The sequence below is a fragment of the Homo sapiens genome, chromosome 6, assembly GCF_000001405.40.
Source record: "Homo sapiens chromosome 6, GRCh38.p14 Primary Assembly".
NCBI classification, from domain to species: Eukaryota; Metazoa; Chordata; class Mammalia; order Primates; family Hominidae; genus Homo; species Homo sapiens.
The window spans coordinates 165676350-165704341 of NC_000006.12; the positions used below are offsets into that span (position 1 = coordinate 165676350).

At 43.6% G+C, this 27992-nt stretch overlaps 1 protein-coding gene across 3 annotated transcripts in view, besides 2 other annotated features; it reads right to left on the reverse strand.

The window, feature by feature from the left end:
• The window catches only part of PDE10A (phosphodiesterase 10A), a 660764-nt gene that overhangs the window by 349061 nt on the left and 283711 nt on the right, over positions 1-27992 (reverse strand). The gene's annotated exons all lie outside the window — the stretch shown is intronic.
• Positions 10383-11582: an enhancer, noted in NCBI's record as "MED14-independent group 3 enhancer chr6:166100220-166101419 (GRCh37/hg19 assembly coordinates)". NCBI's record gives its function as "activates an origin of replication core promoter dependent on BRD2, BRD4, P300/CBP and CDK7 cofactors, and independent of MED14, by STARR-seq in HCT116 cells {active_cell/tissue: HCT116}" and the evidence as "EXISTENCE:reporter gene assay evidence [ECO:0000049][PMID:35650434]".
• Positions 17623-18123: an enhancer, noted in NCBI's record as "H3K4me1 hESC enhancer chr6:166107460-166107960 (GRCh37/hg19 assembly coordinates)". NCBI's record gives its function as "activates a minimal SCP1, AML or CMV promoter by ChIP-STARR-seq in naive H9 embryonic stem cells {active_cell/tissue: H9 hESC(naive)}" and the evidence as "EXISTENCE:reporter gene assay evidence [ECO:0000049][PMID:30033119]".

The following is a 27992-nucleotide window of genomic DNA, read 5'->3' on the forward strand; positions in this document are numbered from 1 at the left end:
ATAACTGCACTTGTAGCCCTTCAATTTATAAAAGTAAACATTTTCAACAGTAAGAAATATCATGCATCAGTTAACCTGGCCATGTGGGAAACCGGACAGGTGCCGCAGAGGAAGAGGTGGGTCAGGGTGCTGGGCAGGTTGGAAAGGGCGTGGTCGGCTGGGGCCTCATTGAGAAGCTGATGTGTGAGCCCAGCTGGAAGGTGGTGAGGGAAGGGGTTCCAGGAGGAGGGGATAGCCGTGAGAGGGGTCCAAGGACTTGCACCCAGGCCCATGTGCCTGGAGTGGACTAGGAGGTGGGGGGTGACCCGGCCAGCTCACGGGCTGTTTAGGCCACTGACTTGGCTTCCAGTCTTCACAAAATGGGAAACATCAGTGACTCACACGATCTGACTTTTTTTTTTAAAGCTCACCCACATTTCACGGCTATTTTCCCTGATGTGCTCTGGGAGGGCGGAGTGCCGTGGGACTGGCGAGCGCCTCCCTTCCTGCCTGTCGGCATGGACTTGCAACTGCAGGAGTGCATGGACTGAAGGACCACACGCACTCACAGCATGGCTGGGGCCTCCAGGGCCAGCTCCTCCAGCAGGACGGGTCCTCACTCATTCCCGAGAAATGAAACTATTCTGATAACGACTTTCCAAGAAAAAGTGCAAAATCTTGCTTGAATGATTCACTTCCTTTCTTCCTGTGATAGTTAATTTTATGTTAACTTGGCTGGGCCACATGGCCTGTTGCTTGGCCAAATCCCAGTCTAGATGTTGCTGTGAAGGCATTTTGTAGATGAGGATTAACGTTAGATCCGTCAACTTTCAGGAAAGCAGAGACCCTGTCCACGGTGTGGCTGGGCCTCATCCGATCAGTGGACGACTTCAAGAGAAAAAGGCTGAGGTCCTCTAAGGAAGAAGAAATCTGCTTCCCAACAGCCTTCAGGCTCAAGCTGCAACACCAGCTCTTCCCTGGGCCTCCAGCCTGCCCTGCCTGCCCTGCAGCTTTTCCACATGCCAGCACAGTTGTGTGAGCCGGTTCCTTAAAAGCTGTCTCTCTAGATACATATAGTCACATACAGTGAGCCCTCCATATCCATGGACTCCACATCCCTGGATTCAACCAGCCTTGTTGGATTAAAATATTTAGAAATAAAATGTCTGCACTGAACACCTCAAGACCTTTTTCTTGTCATTATTTCCTAAAAAATGCAGTATTTACATAGCGTTTACATCGTATTAGGTATTATAAGTAATTATAATGACAATTTAAAGTATACAGGAGGATGTGCATAGGTTACATGCAAATACCACATCATTTTATATCAGGGACTTGAACGTCGGTGGACTCTGGTATCCATGAGAGGTCCTACAGAGCTCTACCCCATGAGGGACACTGTATATATGTGCATTTGTGTTCATATGCGTAATGTGTTTGTGTGTGTGTGTAAATGCGGGTATATTTGTATATGCATGTGTTTGTATATATGTGTGATGTGTGCGCGTTTGTGTATGTGTGTGTTTGTATGTGTATGTTTGTGTTTGAGTGTATATGCATGGGTATATATGTGTATTTGTGTATGTGTTTTTGTACATCTGTATTTGTATATCCGTGTGTGTGTTTGTATATCTATGTGTTTTGTGTGTGTTTGTATACCCATGTGTGTTTATGTGTGTTTGTGTATGTGTAGCTGTTTGTGTGGGTGTTTGTATATGTGTGTGTTTGTGTATGTGTGTTTGTATAGCTATGTGTGTGTATTAATATGTGTATGTATTTGTGTGGGTGTGTTTGTGTTTGTGTACGTGTGTATGTGTGTGTCTCTCTGTGTGTATGTATGTGTGTGTCCATGTGTGTCTGTGTATGTATATGTGTGTCTGTGTGTGTATATGTGTGTGTGTATGTGTGTATCTGTGAATGTGTATCGGTGTGTCTGTGTATGTGTGTGTGTCTCTGTGTGTGTGCAGTTGTGTGTGCATGTGTGTGCATATCTTTCCTTCTGTTTGTTTCTCAGGATAACCCTGGCTACTATACTTCCCTATGATTCTTCCCGTTATGAAGCCACCACCTTTGTACTCAGACCTTCTTTTCTGTATTCTTGAAAAAAAAAATCATTTTAAGAAGCGATAACATTTTGGCATTTCTTTTTAAATTTCAAACTGGAAGTGTGAAGGCTCAAATCCTCATAACCCCTTCATTGGATTTTAAAATAAAGTTGTTAACCCCGCTCCCTGCTTCTATTCTGCCCGCCGCTTGGAAACAGTTTTCCCTCCTTCCACTTCCCATGCCACCCGGTCCCCAGCCCGTGTCGCTGGCAGCATTCATCTCAAGCCTCTCCCTGCGCTGGATCACAACCCGCTTCCGCCCACACTCAGCATCTCCCTCTCTTTCTCTCTTTGTACTAACAAGTTTTGTGCATTTGCTCTTACCAAAAAAGAAAAAAATATCTTTTTGAATGATAAATGAGCATGCACATTCTTTTTAACATGTGGCAGAAATTCTATCCTAGCAACAGCCACCAAATCAACTGTCATCCAGCAAGGATCTCTGCTCTCTTTGCTTCTGGAAAGAGACTAGAAACAGGCAGACTCTTCCGATTCGTGTATGTTAAGGAATGCATTATTAGATGAAAGGAGATGGGACGTTGTCTAGAAAAATCATCCCATTGATTTAATTCATGTGGAGGTTCTGGATTCTCCTAAGGATATTTTGAAAACATACCACACATGAGAGACATTTAAAGTACTCAACAGGTGGTCAGTTTAGGTAATTGTGGCATTGGGTGTTCAGGATAAGGGGTGCCCCATGGATCATCTCAGTTTATCTTCAGGACAGCCTCATCAGGTAGGTAGGACAGGGCTCATCTGCATATCAGGTAAAGTGATTAGAAAAGAATGAGAAAATATAGCTCTATTTAAGAACTAATGTCGGCAGATAAATGCTGGTTTAAACCCAGATAACCAGATCATTTCCTTCATGTTCTGTATGCTACAATGGATACTGGCAGAAAAGCAGTAGGTTCTCAAAGTGGATACCAAGAAGTTGGAAAGAACCTTCTTCTAAACTTCCTGCCAAGCCCAGAGAAGGATTCTGGACTGGAAAGACTGCCTGGAAAGGGGAAATCTGGATTCTCACCGGCCGCTACCTCCCAGCCCTTGAGGAGGTGTGGCACCGCCCCCTCCTCCTGACAGGCCTCCTGGAGAGGCTGCGGTCAGGCGTGCCTGGCCCCACACTGTCACAGCACAGGAACGCCGGGAAGCACCTCACAGTCCCCTTCAGGTCAAAGGCTGATCTCTTACACTTTGGAAAAATAGATACAGTTGAGCCCATGAAGTTGCTGATTTTTAAGTGTTTGCGACCTACAGAAACGGTTCAAGCCTCATCCATCGCTGTGATGTCTTTCTCTCTCCTTGTAAGACAAAGGGCCACAAGATTTCCTGGGTCTAATTTAGGAATGTGGGGAGAAGAGTGTGAAAAGTGGCATTTCTGGAATAGTCTTTATCTTATGGTCACCATGGATACTGTGGGTCCCCATGGTGGGCACTGCTGGCTACTGTGGGGTGTCTGGGGTGGGTGCTGTTGAGTACTCTGGGACTCCCATGGTGGACATTGTTGAGTATTTGGGGTACCTATGGTGGGTGCTGCTGGTTATTATGAGGCACCCATGGTAGGTGCTGTTGGGTGCTATGGGGTACCCATGGTGGGAACTGTTGGGTACTGTTGGGTACTGTGGGGTACCCATGTGGGTGCTACTGGGTATTTTTAGGTACACCATTGCAACTGAGATGGAAAAAGAAAACAGCCATGGATCGTGAGCTCTCGTTTGTCTCTTAAGGAACTTAACATCTAATTGGGAGGTTGTGAAAAAAAAATCACCATGAAAATTCCTCTGTAATATTTTGGGAGTAATATCACAAAAAGAGATTAAAGGCGGAATTCAATATGTTGCAGGTTCTATAATTCAAGTGAGTTGCTGCCACAAAAGCAAGAAGGATCACCATTCAGCTGTAGCAACCTCCACGGAGGAAACAAGAGAGGAAATGAGATGTTCTCCATTCTGCCAGAAGGCAAACTTCCAGCTACAATCGGAGGTACTTTCTCTGCAGGTAAGCACCTCTCCAGTGCAATGAGAACAAAAGATAAATGGAGTCTTGTTTATATAAATTGACCTTGAACTTGAGTCATAATCCACAGACAATTTTTAAGTAAAGATAGAGGAATCTTGGACAATTTCTACCACTGTGTAACACATATACACAAAAATGCATCCTTTTAAAAATACTCATTACCAGCCAGGAGCGGGGGCTCAGGTCTGTAATCCCAGCACTTTGGGAGGCCGAGGCGGGCAGATCACTTGAGGTCAAGCGTTCGAGACCAGCCTGGCCAACATGGTGAAACCCCATCTCTACTAAAAATACAAAAATTAGCCGGGTGTGGTGGCGGGCACCTGTAATCCCAGCTACTATCGCTCGAACCCTGAAGGCGGAGGTTGCAGGGAGCCGAGGTTGTGCCATTGCACTCCAGCCTGGGTGACAGAGCGAGACTCCATCTAAACAAACAAACAAAAAATACTCATTACCTTCTGCCTGCATTCATCTACTTCCCTTATATGTTTTAGGGTGGCCAGCTTGAAGAAAAATGCTTTTATGTGCTAATATCTTTACATTGCTGAAGAGCCCATAATTTCAAAGACTCTCAAGTTACTTTGTAAATTGCATATGAAGACGTCCTAGAAAGTATGTATAGGAGACTGTCCATCTTATCACAGTATAGACCAACTTTTCAATCTTCCTGTTTGATGGCAACGCCTGTGTTTACAGAGCGCTGCAAGGGGTAGTTCACCTCATCCAAGATGCCTGTGTGGTACGTATCAGCATCCATCTGATTAAATCACTTTTCCAGATGGTCAACAAATATATTTGCTGTGCAAAAAGGAATTTAAGAAGCCTGTTTCCTAATACTTAGTTTCGTATGGCTATAGAAAAACAGACAAGTTGAAAAGAAAATTTCAAAATTACTCTTTTTAGGCATCAACCCTAACCTCAATAATTGTCTTGGGAAAATGTGTGTGTGTGTGTGTGTGTGTGTGTGTGTGTGTCTGTGTGCATTTTCCCTTAAAGCAATGGTGCAGAACCATCTGGAGAACTTAAAAACAGACCTCCCCCTCCTCCGAGTTTCTGATTCAGTAGATCTGGAGTAGTGCTGAAAACCTGCATTTCTAACAACCTCCCAGGGGATACCGATGCTGCCGGTCTAGCACAAGGCTACCACTTCTTTGAAGCCATAAAGGAATCTACAATTATTTTATATAGTTTTTTCCTTTTTCTAAAAAAAGCAAATTGTGAACCAAGCCTGCATTTGTAATGAAGTGTTTTGAAATACACTGGCTGTTTACTCAAAATCACCTCTTGTCTGTAGGTCACAGGCACTGTACCCTGAATGGGTTGGTTTTACAAACTGCTCCTAGTCCTTCTAATAAGTGAGCTGGCTACTAGAGGAAGTGAGAAGCTCAGAGAGGCTCACTGAGATTCTAAGCCAACCTGATGGTGGTAGGGCCATTTGTATTAATGATAAATGAGTTTAATTTTTCTGAAATTATGTGTCGTCATCAAAGGAGGGTAGGATGCCTCACAGAACAGTGGGTGAAATTTTGTTGACTATATTTCATATAGCTATCGTGAACGCCCTCTAAGTCGTCCTTGTTCTGGTTTTAACATGCTGATTTCCCACCAATCTATAAAAGTAGCCAACTGTATCTCTTACTTGAGACTGAAGGTTTTTATTCCCCAACCCCAAATTTATATCTTGTTGTCTTTTTAAGTTACGGTCTCACTCTGTCACCCAGGCTGGAGTGCAGTGGCTGCGATCACGGCTCACTGCAGCCTCAACCACAGGGTTCAGGTGATCCTCCTGCCTCAGCCTCCTGGGTAGTTGGGACCACAGACATGCACCACCACACACAGCTAATTTTTTACATTTTTTGGTAGGGCTGGGGTCTTGCCATGTTGCCCTGGTTGGTCTCAAACTCCTGAGTTCAAGCAATCCACCCGCCTCAGCTTCCCAAAGTGCTGAGATTACAGGTGTGAGCCGTTGTGCCCAGCCCCAAATTTATATCTTAAAATACTAACCCTATACATGATGGTATTAGGAGGTAGGGCTTTTGGGAGGTGATAAGGTCGTGAAGGTGGAGCCCTCATAAATGGGATTAGTGCCTTCATAAAGAGACGCCAGAGGCCCCCTTTGCCTCTCTGCCATGTGAGGATACCATAAAAAGACGGCTATCTACGAACCGGAAAGCCAGCCTTCACCAGGCACCAAATCTGCCAGCCCCTTGATCTCAGACTTCCCAGCATCCAGAACCGTGAAAAATGAATGTCTGTTGTTTATAACTCGCCAAGTTTATGGCACTTTGTTGTAGCAGCCTGAATGGACTTAGCCATCTATAGACCATATTTACCATCAACAGGGAACGTGAAGATCATCACTGACAAAGATCTAGAATCTGCTGGTCATCGGTTTGTACATCCCCACTTCCAGCACACTGTACCTGCACCTTCAGGTCTGGGTTAGGTACCCCTTTCATTTGCCCCCACAGACACCTAAACTTCTCTCCATCATGTCATTCAACTTGTGTTAAAATTGTCTGTTCATTGTGTCGTTCCCCCACCGGAATGTAAAAGTGCGTGTGGGCAGAGGCCAGGCCTGCATAGACGGTTGCACCTTCAACATTCAGCACAGCTCCTAGCACATGGTGCGTACTCACAAAATTATTTGTTGAATGAATGAACAGCAGGAAGGAAAGAAGACTGAAGAGGGAGAGAATAATTCAAAGGCTGAGTTCTCTGAAAGGGATTACCTTACAGAGGCCTGTGCAGCGCTCTCCAGTGAGGAGTGGAAGGATGCATTGAATAACAGCATGGGCAAAAAGAACACTATTCAGAATATACCAAAGGCCTTCGGGTGGGCATCAGAGACATGGGCTTCCAGGAAACTGCCCAGCCAACGAGAATCCCAGGAGGAGAAATCAGAAAGGACTTATTTAAACAACAACAAAAAGTGTGTGTGCAGACACATACACAGATGCTCAAGCACACACACACACGCGCTCACACACGACTAAGACATCAACAAGCTATCTTTGCAGTCACGTTTCTCTACATATGCTGTGGGTGTGGGAGAGATGGGTTCATCTGGGATGTGTTTCATTTGAGATCTTGGTGAGGTCATTTTTGTTCCAAATAACTGAATATTAAGTGCCGTGTTTTATCACAGCTTTCTAAATGGCATGCCTTCCAAAGCATATCATAAACCTCCCTGACCGTGTGAGGTAGGCTTGCAATACAAGCCACAGTCTCCTGGAGGCCCCTGAGCTGCCAGGCTGAGCCTCACACAGGAGGGCTGGAGAGTGCAGCAGTGCAGGGCAGTGAACCAAAGATGGTACCTTTGTACGTCACCGATTGAAAATGTCACTCATCAAGCTTTTCATTATGTTTCTGTTGCTTACTCTTTCCCACACCTCTCCACGACTTCCATGACCGGTGTCCTAGGAACCCCCAGGCATCATCCTAGCCCTCTCAGTTCTGGCCACACCACCTCCTGGCTATTCCTCAGATATACCAGGTACTGAGACGGAAGCCTTGAGGCCTGAACACCTGCTGTTCCCTCTGTCTGGAAGGCTTTCTGCCTAGAGTCCCAAATTCTCCTCCTCCTTCAGATTTTTCTCAAAACTCATGTTTGCAGTGAGGCCTTCCCAGACCACACTATTTAAAAGTACAAGGCTCTCTCCTCTCTACTCTTCCTATTTCCTCCCCTGCCTCCTTCTTGTCTGTAATGCTTATCAGCACCTGGCGTGCTCTATGTGTAATTATTTACTTCCTTGGTCTCCTCTCGCTAAGATCCCAGAGGGCAGGGATATTTGTATTTTGCTCACTGCTATACCCCAGAACATAGGACTGCCTGGTCCATATGGACACACAATCAATAATTGTTCCAAAAATGTTTGTGTCTACTGTGGATGGGCACCATTCCAGCCATGCACCTGGAGATAAATAAATATTTGTTCATCGAATAAGTGAACGAATTGATGTCTCCAAAATAACGCCTCAGGTCTCACAATGAAGCCGCCATCTCCTGGGTGGCTCCTTTCCTGTTTGGCAAGCTATGGTCGCGGCTGCCATCACTGCTATGTGAGTTGCATTGGCATTTCATTGGATGCATGGGCAACACGACCCATTATTTATGAGTCACCACACGGTGGCCGAGGCGCTGAGCTGCCTCTCCCCTTACTGTGCTACTTGTACTAGGTCTTCCAGTGGTGTGAGAAGGAGAAACTTCAAGAACCTCTATTTGGGTATTTTTGTGATATTTCCCCACAGGCCACATTCAAAGGTTACATGCATATAATGAATGCATGCAGTTTGACTTTTAACAAAACATATTTTCTTATGAAAATTACAATGAAAGTTCCATATAGTGTTTGATAATTTTAAATTTCTTTCAAAATCTCCTCTGTCATGCACGGTCTCAAGATTTTGAATAACACTGTGATCAACTGAACCAATAAAATAATTGTGAAAACCAGGAAGTGGACAGTGAGACGTCGACTTGACTTCCTTAAAGTTATATGAATGGCCATCTAGAAATAGAATGCCTTTGTTAGCCCCAAGTAATACATCTGTCATTTCTGAAATTATTTTTTATTAGATGTATCTGCTAGTTTAAGAAATAGACTTAAAAAATCGCTATGTGATATAAACTACCTTGCTCTTTAGAATCCTTAGATACCTTTAAGAATTCTAGGAGAGTCAATTTTCCTCTTCATCAGGGGTTTAATTTTATGAATACCTGACTCATCAACACAGGTAAGAATATAGTAAACAATCCTGCTCTGTTTAAATCTTGTAGCAACTGACTCATGGGTGCCTATTAACATAGACTTCAGAAAATTCACCAAAAGAGAACAATTTCATCAGCAGCATAAAACAGATCAAAATGGTGGCTTGTGCAGATGAGTCAAATGGAAAGGCTATTAAATGCATCCTTCTGCTTGGGGCTTTATTCTGTGTGTGTGTGTGTGTTTGGTGGTCAGCCTTCTTCTAAATGCTTCTTCTGTATGCTTCAGATTATGATTGCAAAGCAAACCAAGAGAAAATCGGACACACTGTTAACTGTGATTGAAATTAAATCAGGAAATTCTGCCTGTTCTTCTGCATTGGCTCAGAGCCAGGAATCCCTGCCTTTTCTTTGGAGGAAATGTTTTGTGTATGTTCCTGGCAGCTTCTCCATCACAGCCCACACTCCTCTTTTACCTGTGTACCCAACCATTGAAGGTGCACTTCCTCACTATGAGAAAAGAAACTCCACAGAGGACCATCCACAATGCCTGACCTGGGGTGAGCCCAGCCAGATGCTGGCAAAATATATCCATGTCCTTGGAGGATGCTGGAGGGAGGAATGTTTTCAGATGCATTATATGGGCAAAGCACCGAAGGTCACAATGTTCTCTGTGAACACTCTTACATTTTGATATATAAAATTTAAAAGTAGAATTTATAAGATGACATGACTGATTCAGTGTTATACAAGATTTGTATGGACAAGTGGTAACAGAAGCCATTAAGAAAAAAATTAATAATAAAGAAATTACGTCCATGAGCCTAATTGTGTTTGTGAATGGGGAAAGAGATGGCCACTCTTCAGTGTGAATATTGGCTCACTGGGAGATGGGTTGAAAATCACTGCAGTAGAATTCAGAGCTAGCTGCCTTTTAACCATTCTTCCCAATCTTAAATGTGCATGGACACACACACACACACACACACACACACACACACACACACACAGGCTGTGTCTTTAGCATGCAATGAGGTGCATCCATGACAGCGCTCGCTACACTCCAAAGTGTGGGTCCTGAGATGTGATGCATTCAGAGTCTCAACCTTCAGACTCTCCGGTCTTTTGTGCTGGGGAATTGTGGGTGCCCAGGAAGTCTTTCCTGGTTGGATTTCCCTGTGCATCGGACTCTCCCTACACACCTTCTGCTTAGGCTTCCCCGTTCTCCTCTTTGCAGCGCTTGTTGTTGTTGGATGTCTCTTTTACTTTCCGCCTTCAGGTGTAACATCCTGTTGCTGTTGCTCTGGCAGGAGCTGTGGCCGCACTCCCAGAGACTAGTTCATGGGTTTTGATTTGAACACCACGGTGAGCACAGAGGTCTTGCAGGGGCAATGTTTAAAATCACACAGAAGAAAAGCAGAGCACACTTTCTAAAACAAAGAACCACAAGGCCATAAGCAGTGTTTTCAATCGAATCATGAATTATGTTTGTATGGGTTCTTTTGCTTCCAACATTTTTTGGTAAGTGCATTTTATAAAACCCTCAGAGAGTGCAACAGCCATGAGCCATTTGGTTGAGAGCAGAAACACGAGCAGCTGCGTGACCGCCTCATTAGCCGGTCGGTCCTTACGGGCATGAGCGGCATCACGTGCCAGCACCTCCGCGGCTCATTTGGGACCCTGGCTCTTACCTAAACGTGTGAGCTGCAGAGCCACCTTCTCCACTAAATGCTATTATGTACGCTTCGGTAATGTTTGGGAAGATGTACAATAGCTTGATGTTAAGGAGAGTGACATGAATTATACTAGCTAAAACAATAGTTCTCTTAAATTACTTTTCAAATGTGTTCTGTTCAGATCGCTCTGCAGAAGAGCTGGGGAGAGACCTGGTAAAGTGTGGTAAGTTTCAGCACATGGAAAACAACTGAGAGCATGGCTGCTTCCCATCTCCCTCGCCTTCGTTTCCATCCGCCCACGCGGCCGCCTACACCCCCACTGCGCTCTGGCAGGAAGGGCCCCTCTGCCTGCGTCATGCCAGCCACGTCACCACCACAGCCGCTGGCAGCACAGCACCCAGAGGCACTGGGAGTTTCATATCCACGTGAGAAAGTTTCATATCCACATTGCTTGGGAAGGTTTCTTAACTAGGGAATCAATGTTATCAAAGGGAAGGAAGCTACAGACGGTTCCTTAACATGAAGGTAAAGGGTCACTACACTGTATGCCAGTCGGGTAAGAACTGCAGAGTCGCAACATTGAGAACACCGTGAGAAAAAAGTTTCAGCTCTGAACTATCACCCCATCTACAGAGACAGACTTTAACTATTGTTTAACCAACTGGACTCTTCCACTAGTTCCATTAGCAAGGTGACTTTCAATGCTGACTCTCAGTATTTGGATAGTGTTACCAAAGGAGCAACTGAAAAACGATTCTTTCTACAAGCACACAATACGAAGACCAACTAACATTTGTATAACGTGCCAAGCCTTACCTGTTCTACGCTGTTTTTATGCACTTCCTCTCACCCAGTCCTATGGAATACTGCTACTGGCTGCACATCCCCAGTGCACAGCCGTAGATGCAGAGGCTCCTAGAGAGGCTTTTACTTTTTAAACAAACACTACATGGTGTTTACTCTTTGCCAGACATTATTTTAAGCCCTTCCCAAACTTTCGCACATTTAATCTTCAAACAGCCTGGTGAGGTGGGGCCTGGAAGCTTGAAATGTGGGGCCTGGAAGCTTGAGCACGCAGAGGTTGATGTGCTGTGGTCACAGTGGTCAGTGGCAAAGTTAGATGTGAACGAGGACGGCTCAACTGTGTGACTCCACGGCTCACGCCCAGAACTCCTACCCGAGGCCAGCACACGCACACCCCAAATGGAGGGACCACGTGGTGTTTTCTCACCTGAGACATGGAAAACATGCCACAGGTGCCACGTAGAGATACACATTTTCCTATGGTAAAAGGGAGAATTCAAGGAGTTATGTCCACCCTCTATCTCTTCCTCCTCCTATAATGATACAGTTTAAAAAATCTAAAGAGAATTGGTTTACACGCCTTTGAGACCAAGTCAAGAGATGATTGATTGGTTTACATGCCTTTGAGACCAAGTCAAGAGATGATTGGTTTACATGCCTTTCAGACCAAGTCAAGAGAGCAAAAACGCAAACTGAGGAATTCACTTGAACCTAATTTCAAATCCGAAGGTTCATCTCCACCCCTTCTAATATTGGACCGGTACTGAAATGGTTTCGTGGTATAATTGACGAAGCCTCAGGGTATGTAGTGGGCAACTCAGGGGGCTTCCCTGGACTTGAAGCCAGAGTAGGAAATTCCAGCTAGGAGCAATCTCCATGGGCCCAGTGGGGCTTCATGACATGGTGCTCAGGGATCATATTCTGATTCGCAACTGTTGGTGTGATGGGCAGTGGAATGGACACGCATTGGATACGTAGTGGAATGGATCTAGAAAGATCTCCAGGACACATCATCAGTGGAAGAAAGCAAGGGGAAGAACAGTGACTATGTTATGCTACCTTTCAGGTGAGCAAAGAGAAGAACAATATATAGCCAAACTTTATAGGCATTGTATAAAGAAACTCTAAAAAGCCATCCAAAAAATAGCCCTCTCTCCTCCTCCTCCCTTCGTGACTGTGTCTGTGACTGTATGAGTGTGTGTATCTGTGTGAGTGTGTGAGTGTGTACAGATGGAACTGTGGTGAAATGTGGCAGGGGAGGAATGAGTCCTCTCAAAGCATGCCTTGTTATATTGTTTTTATTTCAAGTCATATAAATTAAAATTTTTCTTCAAATATTTTAAGTGATGTGTTCAGTGAAAAACAGAAGCAAAAAGGAAAGCAACACCCTCCATTGGCACGGCTTATGCAGGATATAAATGGAATTCATGTAGAATTAACCTTGGCATTAAAATGTCTCAGACCTAGGCTTTCCCTAAGTTCAATATAGGTCCAGTTACAATGTAGGCTTTGCCTCTTGTTAGCTGTGTGACTTTGGTTAAGTCACATAACCGTTGTGGGGTTAAGTGATAGTTCAGCTTCAGTATCTTTAAAGTGGATAAAACGACACTAACTCCCAGTGTTGTTTCAAGGGTTAAATGTTCTTTTGTTTCCAACATTTTTGTGTGAGTGCTTTTTATGAATCCCCTAGAGAGTGCAAAATACGTCAGTCATTTGGTTCCCAGGGTTAAATGAGGTTAAATGGAGAAATGTCCCTGATACAGTTTGGATGTCTGTTCCCCCAGATCTCATGAGGAAATGTGATCCCCAGTGTTGAAGGTGGGGCCTAATGGGAAGTGTTTGGGTCATGGGGACAGATCCCGCATGAACAGCTTGGTGCTGTCCCTGTGGTGGTAAGTGAGTTCTCGTTCTGTTAGTTCACGTGAGATCTGATTGTTAAAAGGAGCCTGGCACCTTCCTCCCCTTCCCTCTTTCTCCCTCTCTCACTATGCGATGCACCAGTCCCCCTTCCTCTTCCGCCGTGAGCGGAAGCTTCCTGAGGTCTCACCAGAAGCGGATGCTGGTGCCAGGCTTCTTGTACAGCCTCCAGAACCATGAGCCAAATAAACCTCTTACCCAGTCGTGGGTATTCCTTTCGTAGCAACACAAAATGGACTAAGACAATCGCTAAAGTGTCCAGCCCATGGTACGAGCTCAATACATGAAGATACAGACTCAGAGAATGTTCATACCCTGATGCAATGTCCAGTTCTGCCACCGGGTGAGTACAATGTGAGCACTCAGCATGTATCCGTGAGTCACTCATAGCTTTCCCAAATAAGTAAGATACTTTAATTTCACCATTTTTTTTTAACAAGACATTTTTAATGCAATTTATGATTTACTTGCTGGGCTAGTTAACTATAGAATATCGAGTGTCTTATTAGGTAAGGCTCTGTCATTCTCTTTGGTCACACAGAGAATAGGAAGAAGTAGGATTTGAATCCAGGGCTGTCTCATGCCATAGCTTATGATTCTTCTTCCGTGTGCCACCTCCATCCACTTCAGCATGAAATAGTTTCAGCCCGAACTCCGCTCAGTCAACTCTGCGGGGACTGTTATTAATTTCCCCATAAGTTTGGAACTCATCCCATGGTCTCCACTCCAGTCCTCTCCATGGTTTTCTTTCAATGAAAAAGAAATAGCCTTCAGCTTTGGGCTGCTCATCACCTTTCTTCTGGTACATTTCTCTCAAATTCTTACGGCAAATGTTTTGATGGATTCTATTACTCTCCCTGCCTAACATCTGGTCTCCCTGCCTTCAGCCTGGCTCTCCTCCAGTTCCTTTTCCTTTATAAAGCAGACTGGCCTCTGGAAATGGCAACTCTGGTCATGCCCCTCCCTTGCTCAAAACCCTGCAATGACTCTCTCTGCTCTTGGAGGCAGGTCCAAACTTGATGATGGGTTGGTAGGATGGTGATAGGATGTTCATGGGGCTTCCAGCCTCCTCTCCCACACCTGCAGACTCCCCAGTGCACAGAATGCTCTCAGTCCCTTGAATGTGCTGGTACTTCTTGCCTCCAAGGCATTCACACAAGCTCTTACCAGGTGCTTCTGTTCCACCCACACCCCATTTCTATCTGGCATGAAGGTTAATTTCATGTGTTAACTTGACTGAGCCACGGGATGCCCAGATATTTCATCAAACTTTATTCTGGGTAGGTACATGAGGGTGCTTCTGGAGAGACTAATATTTGACTCTGTAGATTGAGTAAAGTGGTTGGCATCCCTGGTGGGGGCCACTGCTCTCCTGCTTCTCAAGCCTCCAGACTTGGACTGGAACCTACAACACCAGCTTTCCTGGCTTTCCAGCTCACTGACTGCAGATCTTGGGACTCCTCAGTGCCTGTGGTCACGTAAGCCAATTCCTTACAGTAATACTCTCTCTCTCTTTCTCTCTCTCTCTCTCTCTCTCTTTCTCTCTCCCCCCCCCCATCAGTGCCTGTGGTCACATAAGCCAATTCCTTACAGTAATATTCTCTCTTTCTTTCTCTCTCTCTCTCTCCCTCTCTCTCTCTCCCCACACACACACACACACACACACACACACACACACACAGAGTCAGGCATCACATAACCACATTTGAGTCACTGATGAGCCACATATACAACAGTGACCTCATAAGTTTATGATACCATATTTTTACTGTACATTTTCTGTATTTCCATATCCTAGTTGCCTACAGATTCAGTAAAGTCACATGCCGTCCAAGTTTGTAACCTAAGAGCAACAGGCCATACCATAGACCCTGTGTGTGTAGTGGGCTGTGCCATCCAGCCGTGTGTCAGCATACTCTGTGATGTTCTTAGACAACAAAATCGCCTGATAACACATTTCTCAGAATGCATCTTCATCATTAAGTGATGTGTGACTGTACACGTGCCCATGCGCACGCATGCACGCGCGCGCACACACACACACACACACACACACACACACACAGCATCGGTTCTGTTTCTCTGGAGAGTCCTGACTAATTCACTGGCCAACTCCTGCTGGTGCCTCAGTGCAGATGTCCTCAGGAGACCTTCTTGGAGCCTCCAAGCCTGTTCCTCCCAGGTGGCCATGCCTTCGCCTCTCAGCTCAGCAGGCACCACTCAGCCCTGAGGCAGCCTGGCTGCGTGTCCTGTGTCCCCATCAGATAATAAACTCTGAGTGGGTGGAAGTGCTGGTCCTGTTAACCATTTCATCTTACGCTTTTCACCCAAGCACTCGGTACATCCTTGTGGAATTGATGAACTGTGTTAGACCCTTGACACTTTCTGGATGTGCACTGAATGAACTGATAAGCAGGCAGCTTATGTCACCCCTTGAATTCCTTACCATGAATCATCTCTTGAGTAGGCCCCTATCTCTTTGTCATTTTAAGTTAAAACATTTGATTTTTAAAAGTACCTAATTAGTCACAGGGTTAATCCTCAAATATAGACCTGGTTCCTGGGCCGGTGAGTGCAGGGAGGCCATGCAGCGTGACAGGGAGGGTGGGGACGCCACAGGAAGGCGTGGGCTTATACCTTGCTCAGCCTCTCTGCTCTATCCACACCTAAGGGGAGCGCTGATAAGTCCTATCCTCCATGGTGAGATTATAAAGGAGCCTGAGGCTGGGATCAAGCGTGCTAAATTCTCACTGTGTTCAGATCAGCAGATCAGATGAGAGGGGTGGGTGAAGCAGGAGGAGCTGCAGGGTTTCCCACGTCTTCAGCATCACACATTGGGCCCTCCAGCCTCTGCCCTACCATCGTCATCATTTGGTCACTACCGGGACTTGCTTGTTCTGGCAGCGCTGGGCTCTCAGCCTCTGGGACTCTGGCCCAGGAAGCCTGTCTGTCCACATTGGGCCCATTTTACTCCCACAGTCACAGAATTCCAGGCCCCCTCTCTCCTGCTGGTCTTCGTGCCTGTCCTGTGGCTAAAGCCTACTGGTTAAATATATCAAGAGAAGAGTTTCTCCTCAAACCCTCAGTCAGAAAGCATTTTCTCGGCAGTAACGCATGCTGTACACAGACATGCCCTGCTAACCTTAGACAGCAGGTTTTATGTGTAGGGAGAAAATGTGTATTTAGAAATTACTTATGCATTTTAAATCATATTGTATCCACCTTTCCCTTCTTTCCTAATGGAATAAACACTCTTACACTAGGGAATACATTAGGGAAAGTATTGTCTAATACAAACAGGAGAAGCGGAATACTGCACTTTATTTCCAAATTCTGACTAAATCCGCAGTGTCTGTACGGCAGAGATAATCCTACATCATTTTTAGATTTTGCAGAAAACTGTCCCTCCCTTATTTTTTAACATCAAAGAGAGGATAGAATCAGTCTGGATAACCATTAACAGCTTAAAAGATATATCAGTGCTAGGTGTCACATTTTAATTTAAAAAAAATCATGATGTCCTCCAATTTGTTTGAAACATTGAATCTATGAATCCATTTCCTGGATGTAGTGATTTGGGTTTCACTCTGGATGCTGTGCAATGTTTATATCAGATACTCATCTGCATTGTTTCAGATGAATAGGATGTGAAATCATTAGTTGAGTGAAACATTTAAAAGTGCACTGAGGCCGGGCACGGTGGCTCACGCCTGTAATCCCAGCACTTTGGGAGGCCTAGGTGGGTGGATCATCTGAGGTCAGGAGTTCAAGATCAGCCTGGCCAACATGGTGAAACTCTGTCTCTACTAAAAATACAAAAATTTGCTGGGCGTGGTGGTGGATGCCTGTAGTCTCATCTACTTGGGAGGCTAAGGCAGGAGAATGGCTTGAACCCAGGAGGCAGAGGTTGCAGTGAGCTGAGATGGCACCACTGCACTCCAGCTTGGGCGGCAGAGGGAGGCTCCACCAAAAAAAAAAAAAAAAAAAAAAAACCGAGTGCACTGAATTTTAAAAAATATAAATAGCAGACAAGCATAATTCTCCATGTTATCATCATGATGCTTTCTACACTATTATTTTAAAACCTACAACTATTGTTTAAGAGCTGTTTAGTAATTGGTGTTGAGAACCTGATTTACTTGAACGATGTTCCCCAATCTGAAAGAACAGTACTGTGCTTCCCATATCTTGGCACCAGTTACATTCATCTCCGGGTTCATTTGTTTTCTGGGGCCAATTCATTTCAGGCAAAAAGGTCATAATCTAACTCATTCACGGGGCCTTCCTGAAACAGTTCTCAGGCTTCAAATAGTACCTGGTGTTCCCATAAATGCTCATACACAGTTTTAGAAGTTTTTTTTCCAGTTAATATGCAATGATAGGAAATCAACTTATTTTCTTTTTATAAAATTTATTCTGGATTTCATCATGTCTACTTTGAAGTAAATATTTTACTTTTAATGGGTACAAGTTGAAACATCTCACAAAACCACTCAACACTTATGTGCAAAAATGTTAGCTAATATATAATTCAAGGGACTGTAAGTGTAACATAATTTGGCATTGGTTCTATACCAAGCTTCCTTTCTTTGGGGGCCGTGCACACGTATATCTCATCATAAGTTAATTAGATGCAGAGACAAATTTACAAAATCAAAGACAGAGAATCCTTTATTTTGTTTAACATCACCCTCAGCCTTATAATTAAACAATTCTCAGGCCATTATGCACCACGTTTAACTGCAGTGGCCACAGGCACGGGACCATGAGAGAGGGCAGCCTGCCTCAATTAGCACTGCTGTAACTGAAGTGGGCTGCGGGCACAGCCAGCAACAGTGAGACAAGGACGAACCATTTGGCATGGGGCAGAGCAGCGGTCAGATGCACAAGCATGGCGTGGAATCCTGCAGGGCTAGCGTTTGCATTCACTGCTCCTCAACTCTGAGTCCCTAAGTGTCTTATCACAGCCACAGGTGGGGCAGGAGAGCAGCGGGCGGTGTCGGGAGACCGGGACTCCCCCCATCTCTCTGCTACCTGAGCTGAGCTGCTTACCACAGTGGACGCTGCTGCCTCGTTTATAAAGAAGGCAGATATCACATGCCATGCTCTCTTAAATTTCTGTCCAGCTGTAAGCTCCTATGTGTCAAAAAAATTCACCCAGTAGCTTTTGTTTTATTTTTAAATTATCTGGGACAGAGGATAGATGAGAAGGGAATGTTGATGGTAAAGAGAAAATGCAAAATTAGAACAAAATCAGGCTCCCAAACGAAACAGAAACAAAAAACAAAAGCAACTGATCAAGAGTGTTACCTCCCTAAAAACAGGATAGTAACAAGTTTTCAGCTTCCTCATGTCTTCCGTAGCCTTCAATTCAGGCCATTACAGGATTTCTCCTCTCTCCCGCCCCAGGAATAAGTCTCTTATGTGAAAATGAAGTCAATGGAAAATTACATTTATTTTATAGCCACATTTCTCTAACACATTTCCCCCGGAAGTAAACAATTTTCTATATAGAGACATAAGACTTATTTTCCCTAAGACAAACAATATGCATAATATTAACAGTGAGTAAATTAGAGACCAACTTCCAGCATGGCAGTGTAAGGAGCTCCTTGAAGTTGCTCCCCAGTGAGCCTGGTGAAAACTACCAAAAAAAAAAAAAAGAAAGAAAAGCAAAAACCAAAAACAAAAAAACATATAGCCTCTGGAAATGGTAGAAGGAGCAAACAGCAAATGACAAAATCTCTTTTCAAGACAATCTATCAAAATCTGGTAGGAATGGTGAGAGTCTGTGCTATTTGAGCTAAGAATGCACCTCTGTTCCCTTCTCCCAGCTCAGGGAGGTGGGGAGTCCATGCCAAAGACTGCAGCCAAGAACACAGGGCCCTCCCCAGCACCCAGCTGGAGGACTTTCCTCCTTGGGAGGGGCAGGACTTCAGGGCTTCTCATCTTGTCCCCTAACCCCTCATGCCCTGCCGCCTGTTGCTGAGGCTAAGTACCAGATGAGTGTGGTGAAAAAGTTGGGAGTGGGGGAGAGGTGCAGGCTGTAAAACAGATAGCTCCTGTATCTTCGCAGAGGAACTGACTTGATGTGCAACACAGTCTGGAGGAGGTTAAACCTGAGGGCACTCTCAAGAACAGTGGAGTTGTGGTGAAAGGCAACTGGGCAGAGATTTGTGCATCTACTGTAAAGACAGCCTAGATGGTAGGCTCGCTAGTGCACAAGGGAGAATCGGGGAATGAGACATCTGGCAGGAGTCCTCTTGAGGTCAGAAAAAATATCGAACGTTGACCTTAGAAACTGTTCCTTCCAAGGAGCCAGAATTTGATGTTTGTAATGCAATTTATGCTCCAGGGCACTGTTGAAAACACCCAGGGCAATCAGCCAGCAAGGCAGTTAGTGGGGTTGAACCTCTGTGTGAAGTCAAGAAAAGAGAGGAAGAGAGTCCCACCAGTACTAATGTCACCCCAGGGTAACTGGCCACACCCAAAGCTATGCCTCTCAAGCAGCAACATCAGAGACATGACACTGTGTGTTGGTGTTGGGGAGGGGGAAGGAAGATGGATGTCACTAAAATAATCCAGCCAGTAACTAAGTGAATAAACAAAGCAATAAGAAGCCCCGGGGAGAAGAAGACCAGTATCCAGAGCTGCTACAATATATTACAGTGGTCCTTTTTTATCCCAGGTTTTACTTTTCACAGTTTTGTTTACTTATGGTCAACCTCATTCTGAAAATACCGAATGAAAAATCCCAGGAATAAATGAATCGTAAATTTTAAATCTCACACCATTCTGACTAGTGTGATGAAATCTTGAACCATCCTGCTCTGTCCTGCCCAGGATGTGAATCACCCCTTTGTCCAGCATATCGATGGACACTACCTGCCCATTAGTTGCTTAGTAGCCCCTCTCTGTTGTCAGATTTAAAAAACATAGTATATGTAGGGTTTGGTACAATCTGTAGTTTTAGGGATCCACTGGGGGGGTCTTGGAATGTGTCCCCTACAAGAAATGGGGGACTACTCTATCTGAAATGTTCAGTTTCAAGTGAACAACTATGAGATATGTAAGGAAACAGGAAAGTATGACCCATATACTGGGGAGAAAAAGGCAAAAAACAAAACGGCAACAGAAAATTGCATGTGAGAATGACCAAATGTCAGATTTAACATATTTCAAACTAGTCGTTGTAAATATGTTCACACAACTAAACGAAACCATGATTAAAGAAGTAAAAAAGGTAATGTTGCATCAAGTAGAGAATATCAATAAAGAAAGATAAACTATGAAAAAGAGCCAAGAGGAAATTATTCAAGTACAAAGCACAATAACTAAAATAAAAAATTCAGCAGAAGGACTCATCAGTAAATATGAACTGGCAGAGGAAAGAATGCTCAAACCTGATTGATAGAGATGATGCTAGCTGAAGAACAGAGAGAAGAATAGAAAAAAGAAAAATGAACAGAGCCTCAGAGGAAAGAGAGGTGCCATTAAACATACCCAAATACATATCATGGAAGTACCAGAAATGAGGAAAAAAGTATTCAAATAAATAATGGCTGAAACTTCCCAAATTTACTGAAAAATGGTAACCATCCAGGAAGCTTAATGAACCCCAAGTAGAATAAACTGAAAGAGAATCAGGAAAAGACATGCCATAGAAAAATGCTGAAAGTCAAAGACAAGGGAACATTTTAAAAGGAGAGGAGAAAAATGATGCATCAAGAAAAGGAACAGCTGACTTCCCAGCAGAAACAATGGAGGCCAGAAAGCCAAGTGGGATGACATATACAAAGTGTTGAAAGAAAAGGAAAGCTGTTAACGTCTAGCAAAGCTGTAATAAAAAACTAAAGGCAAAATAAATACCTTTTCAGACAAAGAAAAACATTCCATTTGGTGCTATCTGACCTGTCTTATGAAAAATACTAAAGGAAGTTTTTCAAGCTGAAAGGAAAGGCAAGACTGCAATTTGAGTTCATATGAACAAACACAGACCACAACATATATGAAACTTGAAGACCTTGTGTTAAATGAAACAAGCCAGTTATAAATAGAAAAGTACTATACAAGTTCATTTATATGAGGTTCCTAGAGTAGTCGAATTCATCAAGATAGAAAGTAGAATGGAGGCTTTCAGGGACTGGGTAGATGGGGCGATTGGAAGTACTTAATGGGTGAGTTTCAGTTTGGGAAATTGAAAAAGCTCTGGAGATGGATGATGGTGATGGTTGCACAAAAATATGAAGTACTTAAGGCCACAGAACTGTGCAGTTAAATATAGGTAAAATGGAAAATTTTATACTACGTATATTTAACTACAATTTTAAATATCAATTGCAACTACAGGAGAAAAGAAGAAAGAGCATCCCTGGTTTATTCCTGTTACGCCGTCACTGTCCCTCTGACAGTAGTATGAATTCCTGCCAACCCCTAGAATGAGCACCTCAGAATGTTATTTTATTCCTCAGGCTTTGGATTTATGAAATCAATACCATGAAGTGAATCTCTCCTTTCTCTTCAACTTCTCATCTTCCTATTATTAAAACAAATAAACAAGCCATGTTTCCTGAATTTTAAATGCTATAAACATCTCCCATAAACCCTAGGGAGACTATTCAGTAATAATACTGAATTATACTGAATACTGCTCAAGGCTGCTTGAGTTGAGGCAGTTACAGGAAAAGCAGGACCTCCTTGACTCAGGTTAGCAGTCTCCTCTGTCTCTACAGAAATACTATGGTAAGCCTTACATTCTAATCCTTTTTCTAGTTATAAAATATGAAAACTGGAATAAATAACCCTAATAAAGGCTAACACATAAGAAAAGAACAGGCAACGCAAGCTGGAGTCTTACATAGGGAACACTACTTGTAATCGTAAATGTGAGATGTGGCCTAGTATAGTGGAAAGAGCAAGGGTTTGAAATCAGACAAATAAAAAAATAGAGCGAAAAAATAATTAATGAAATTAAAATGCTACATTAGAAAATAACCACTCAATTCTTGGCCAGATGTGGTAGATCATGCCTGTAATCCCAGGACTTTGGGAGGCTGAGGTGGGTGGATCACCTGAGGTCAGCAGTTCAAGACCAGCCTGGCCAACATGTTGAAACCCCATCTCTACTAAAAATACAAAAATTAGCCAGACGTGGCGGCATTTGCTTGTAGTCCCAGCTACTCAAGAGGCTGAATTGTTTGAACCCAGGAGGTGGAGGTTGCAGTGAGCTGAGATCACTCCACCGCACTCCAGCAGGGGTGACAGAGTGAGACTTTGTCTCAAAAAATCCAACCAAACAAAAAAACAAAAACAAATAAATAAATAAAATATTCACTCAATTCTAAAGAAAGTAGTAAAGGAGAAGTAGAAGGATAAAAGAGACATGAGATATATAGAAAGCAAAATGTAAAATGGCAAACATAAATTCAACTATGTTAATAATAACATTAAAAGTAAATGGGTTAACAATTCATCAAAAGGCAGAGATTGTCAGACTGAATAAAAAACATGGTCTAACTATGTGTTGCATACAAGAGATACACTTTAGATTTAAAGATACAAATAGATTTAAGGTAAAAGGATGAAAAAGATATATCATAGTAAATATTAACCACAGGAAAGGTGAAGTGGCTGGATTAATATCAGACAAAATAAACTTTAATACAAAAAATGTTAGTAGGGATAAAGAGGGGGCATTTTATAATGATAAGTGGTTAATCCAACAGAAATATTTGACATTTATAAAGATATGCATTTAACAACAGAGCACCAAAATATAGGAAACAAAACCTAATGAACATAAAAGGAGAAATAGAAAATTCAACAAAAATATGCAGGCTTCAATACCCCAATTTTAATAATGAGTAGAAAAATGAGACAGAAGATCAGATCAACAGGGAAATAGAAGACTTGGATAACACCGTAAACAAACTGGACCTAACAGATTGCAATAGAACACTCCAACTAATAACAGAGTATACATCCTCAAGAGCACTGGGGACATTCTCCAGGATAGACTATATGCTAGGCCATAAAAATAATCCCAATAAATTTAAAAGGAGCAAAATAGTACAAAATATTTTCTCCAGCAACAATGGAATAAAATTGGAAATTACTAATGGAAAAATTTGGGAAATCCACAAATATGTGGAAATTAAACACATTCTTAAACAACCAATGGGTCAAAAATCAAAAAGAAAATCAGAAAATACTTTGAGATACATAAAAATGAAGACATAGCATACCAAAACTTATGGGACGCAGCTAAAACAGTGCTTAAAGGGAAATTTACAGCTGTAAATACTTATATTAGTAAAGAAGAAAGATCTCAAATCAATAACCTAACTTTTCACCTTAAGACACAGGAAGAAGAAGAGCAAACAAAACCTAAATCAAGCAAAAAGAAGGAAATTATAGAGTGGAAATTAATGAAATAGAGAAAATTAAAAATTAGAGAAAAAATAATGAAACAAAACACTGGTACACAAATGTTTATAGCAGCATATTTATAATAGCTAAAGGTAGAAGTAACCCAGATGTCCATCAATGGATGAATGGAGAGACAAAATGAAGTACTGATACACACTACAATGTGGATAAACCTTGAAAACATTATGCTCAGTGAAAGAAACCAGTCACAAGAGACCACATACTGGATGAGCCCATTAATGTGAAAGTCCAGAAGAGGAAAATCTATAAAGACAGAAGATGGTTGTGTAGGGATGAGAGGAAGGGGATGGGGTAGGGGGCAGGGTAGGGATACAAGGAATGAGAGGTAAAGAGCATGGGGTGTCTTTTCAAAGTAATGAAACAGTTCTAAATTGATTGTGGTGATGGTTGCATATATCCATGAATATGTCAAAAACTATTAAATTGCACATTTCACACAGGCGAATTACATGGTGTGTGAATGATATCTCAATAAATCTTTTTTTCAAAAATGATCTTGTCACTTGGAGGCTTCTGACAGTAGCACCTATGTCGTGCACGCATTTCTTTTTACCGTTTTGCAGGTAATGTTATATAAAATAAGAGAGTTTGGGGGAAAGGAAATTGAAATGCCATTTATCACCCAATACATTGTGTAATTTGGGGATTGGAGAGAGGTAGTCACATTTGAACTAAAGATTTGTTACAGAAGTATTGCACCACAAGGCTACCTTCCATTTTTGAATAGCATTTATGCAATTTACTAGATTCTTCATATCACTAGGCGGTCCTCCAGAGAAGAAGTTGACACTTAACATTTATGTGACTTTTTGTCTCAGATCTGGGATGAAGTTATCATGCGGGTGATTTTATAGGTACCAATGAGCAAAAGTAAGCCATTTGAAGTGTTTATTGATGCAGATTGGTTGGCAGCAGTGGTTGGGAAATTGTTGCATATTCAACTAGCTATGTCTGATACGTGCATACCTGTGATACCTGGATTCCATCAGTGCTGCAATAAAAGGAAAAAGACAGAGATCCTATTTATAATGTTGAACTTTCTTGTGCCTAGTAGGTTACAGCAACTTAGTTAAATGCCTAGCAAATATAGAACAAGCAGATCAGCTATGCGGTGTCTGACTGTTCTATAAATAGACAAAAGTTATTTTGCTAAAACAAGACTCTGACTTCAGATGCCTGGCAGCAAATTCCTGGGTAAATAGGAAAGCCTGCCGAAGAGTGACCTGTCCAGGCGACAATTGATAGAAACCATCTGACGGTCTTGGGTGGCTATGTGCATTACACAAGCATATATGTTTGTCTTCTGACTGTGTGCAGGACAAAAACCCAATGACACAATTTGCCACTGTCACTGTTCTTTATGATTTTTCAAGAGAATGCTGCACATGCTAGCCACTCAGTAGCACATGCTTGGACCGGGCCATTTTCTTTGATTTAACAACAACTGTTTTATTGAATTTCTAATATGTTCTGACATTGCACTAGGTGCTAAGGATACAGAAGTGAATAATATGGTTTCTGCCATCAAAAAAGCCACAATCTGGAAGAGGAAGGAGACAAGCAGTTGCAGAACAGCAAGAGAAGTGAGAACCAGATAGCTTGGTGTCATAAAGTGGGGGATGGTCTACTCTTCATGTATGTGTGTGTGTGTGTGCATGTATGTTTGTGTGTGTGCATGTAAGTGTGTTTGCATGTGTGCATGTGTGTGTTTGCGCGTGTGTGCATGTGTGTGTGCATGTGTGTATGTTTGCATGTGTGTATGTTTGCGTGTGTGTGTGTGCATGTGTGTGTGTGTTTGCATTTGTGTGTGCATGTGGTGAGTGTGTCTGGAGTGGGGGTTAGGGAAGGCTTCATAGACTTGAGATGAGTCTTGATGAATGATGGTTACTGAAGCAAAGGGAAGAGACAGTCAACAGGCAGAGGAACACTCCGGTGATACGGAGGAGATGATGGGTTGAGGAACAACACGCAGTCTGGTCCTGGGCCCTGGAACTACAGGACAAGTGGGGAGGGCAGGAAGATGTGGCCAGGAGGCAGGCAGGGCCAGGTCAGCTATGTTACACTATAATTAGATTTTCCCGTAAGTGGCAAAACCATGTTTGAACCTCCGAAGGGTGGTGCCACCTCATCGTGGGGGAATTCAGAACATGCCCTGGGACGGCAGAGGGTCTGCCTCAAGAAGGACCAGCCCCAGCTGCAAAGAACTACAAAAGAAAACCACAGAAAGCAGAGAACAAGTACATTTGTAAAACATTAATTTTCTGAAAACTCCCTGCCTCTTCTCCATTTCCTTCTCATACTGACCGCTGTAACTTACAACAGAGCCAGACCTTGTTCCCCAGGTGCTGACATCAATGGGCTTCTCACCTGAGCGAGGCCCTCACAGCTGATCCTAAGGGCTTAATTAGGATCATGAGCCAGGCAGCGTCCCTCACAACCTGGAGAAGGAACAGCCTTAACTGTGACAATCTTGTCCTTCCGAGGACATGTGGGCAGTCAAGCCCCACAAAGAAGAAGGAACGGTTCAGCAGCATTTCAGAAATCTATCTGAGTGACAAGAAGTGTACAATTAAGATCAACTAATTCGCCAGGAACAGTGGCAGCGGGTGGCCCACCTGTGAATGTACTAAACTGAGAAGCACCAAGAGATTCAGAGGAGGGAGGAGCAGAAAAAGACAAAGACCCCACTCACTCCATGTGCCTGGCTGCCAGCCCATCTGTCGCCCCTCCAGGTGACCAGAGTCTTCACCTCTTCCGAAGAAGGGATCCTGCAGTTCCCATGGTGCACTGCAAGGACGCTCTCTCATGATCTAATCTGCACTAGAACCACGTGAATGTGAGGCTCTGACGTTCCTAACACATGAGATGACTCTGGAAGCCAGGACCTGCCGTGGGAAAGGCTGAACACTGCCCCAGAGCAGATGGGCGGTGACCCACCACAGTGAGCTCCAGTGACCCAGATGTGGTTGGAGTCCCCTGTTCTTCCACTTGCCCGTGCAATTCCATTTTCATAAACACGATTCGGCATCTCTTAGAGGTAAAGTATGCACATTTCACTCAAAGAACAAACTGCCTTTGGAGACGTGGAGGCTGCGCTGTGTTGCAAAGGCCAGGTTCTCAGGTTTGTTTGCAGCCTCATAAATAATTATTTTAATGACACAAATTGGTAACAACTTTGTTTGTCTATTAGTGTACCTCAGACTTTGCAGTCACCTGTGCTACACCTGGAGTGGTGTCCAGGACAGTGGTCCTGTTCCCTTCTTGAGAAGGACCATCTCAGGCCCTGCAATCGTAGCTTTAGATTCTGCCTGTCCCTTTCATATAGAGAGTGGGAATAAACATGCATGTCATTTCGCCACGTTTTAGAGTTGTAAAAGGGTTTTGTAAGTAAAGCCATACAAAGAACATGGAGATAACCCACCACTAGGCTCCTTTTGTCACTCACACTTGCTGCTAATGTACTTTCCTCCTTCATTCATTCTGAAGAAAAGTTATGCACAGGAGAGATGGTAGACCAGCTCAAAGCCTCATAACTGAGTTCAAAAAATTGTTTTAGCAGTGCAGCTAAAGGAACATGGAGAGTGATCTGATGCCCCCTTTTAAGAACACAGGTAAGAACCTACACATTTGAATGTTCAGGAACTGTCCAATTTGCAGATTTATTCCAAAGATTGCACTGTGCCTTGCTCTTTGCTCTGGAAATCTTGGCCTTAGGCCAAAAGCACTAAGCTGTGACCTGGCCCTCCATGGGTCCTCCCATCTCCCTGCTTCCATCCCGTCAGTCCCCCCAGTAATCAGCTATGGGACAGCCAGGGCCGACAGCCGCCTCCCCTTGTTCTCAAATCCTTTGCGAGTCTCCACTGGGGGCTGGTACCATGGTAGAGAGGGTGCAGCTTCTCAGGTCACAAAGATGAATGGATGGAAGGATGAGCTGCAGGAGTAGCCAAGTCATGGAAAGTGCAGCTTCCAGCATTTTCTTTTCCCACACGTTTTTCAAGGCTGCCGTACACACGCCCAAACATATTCACACTCGTTCACCAAGGAGGGAGTAAACTCAACTGCAGCCGTGCCACGTACAACAGTATGTTGTATCCTAACAGAGAAACTCTGTATACGTTTGGGAACTGGCTCAAGTTCTCAGGCTCCGGGCCAGCAAAAACTGTGGGTGTTGTTGGCTGCGGTCCTTGAACAATACCCACAGCCAGATGATCAGGCTCACACAATGGCAGCAGCTCTGGAGGGATCTGCTGGTGCTCCTTCAAAGAGAGAGGAGCCTGGGGATCAGGAAGGAAACAAAGGAGGAGCACGTGGGACACCCATGCAAATTACAAA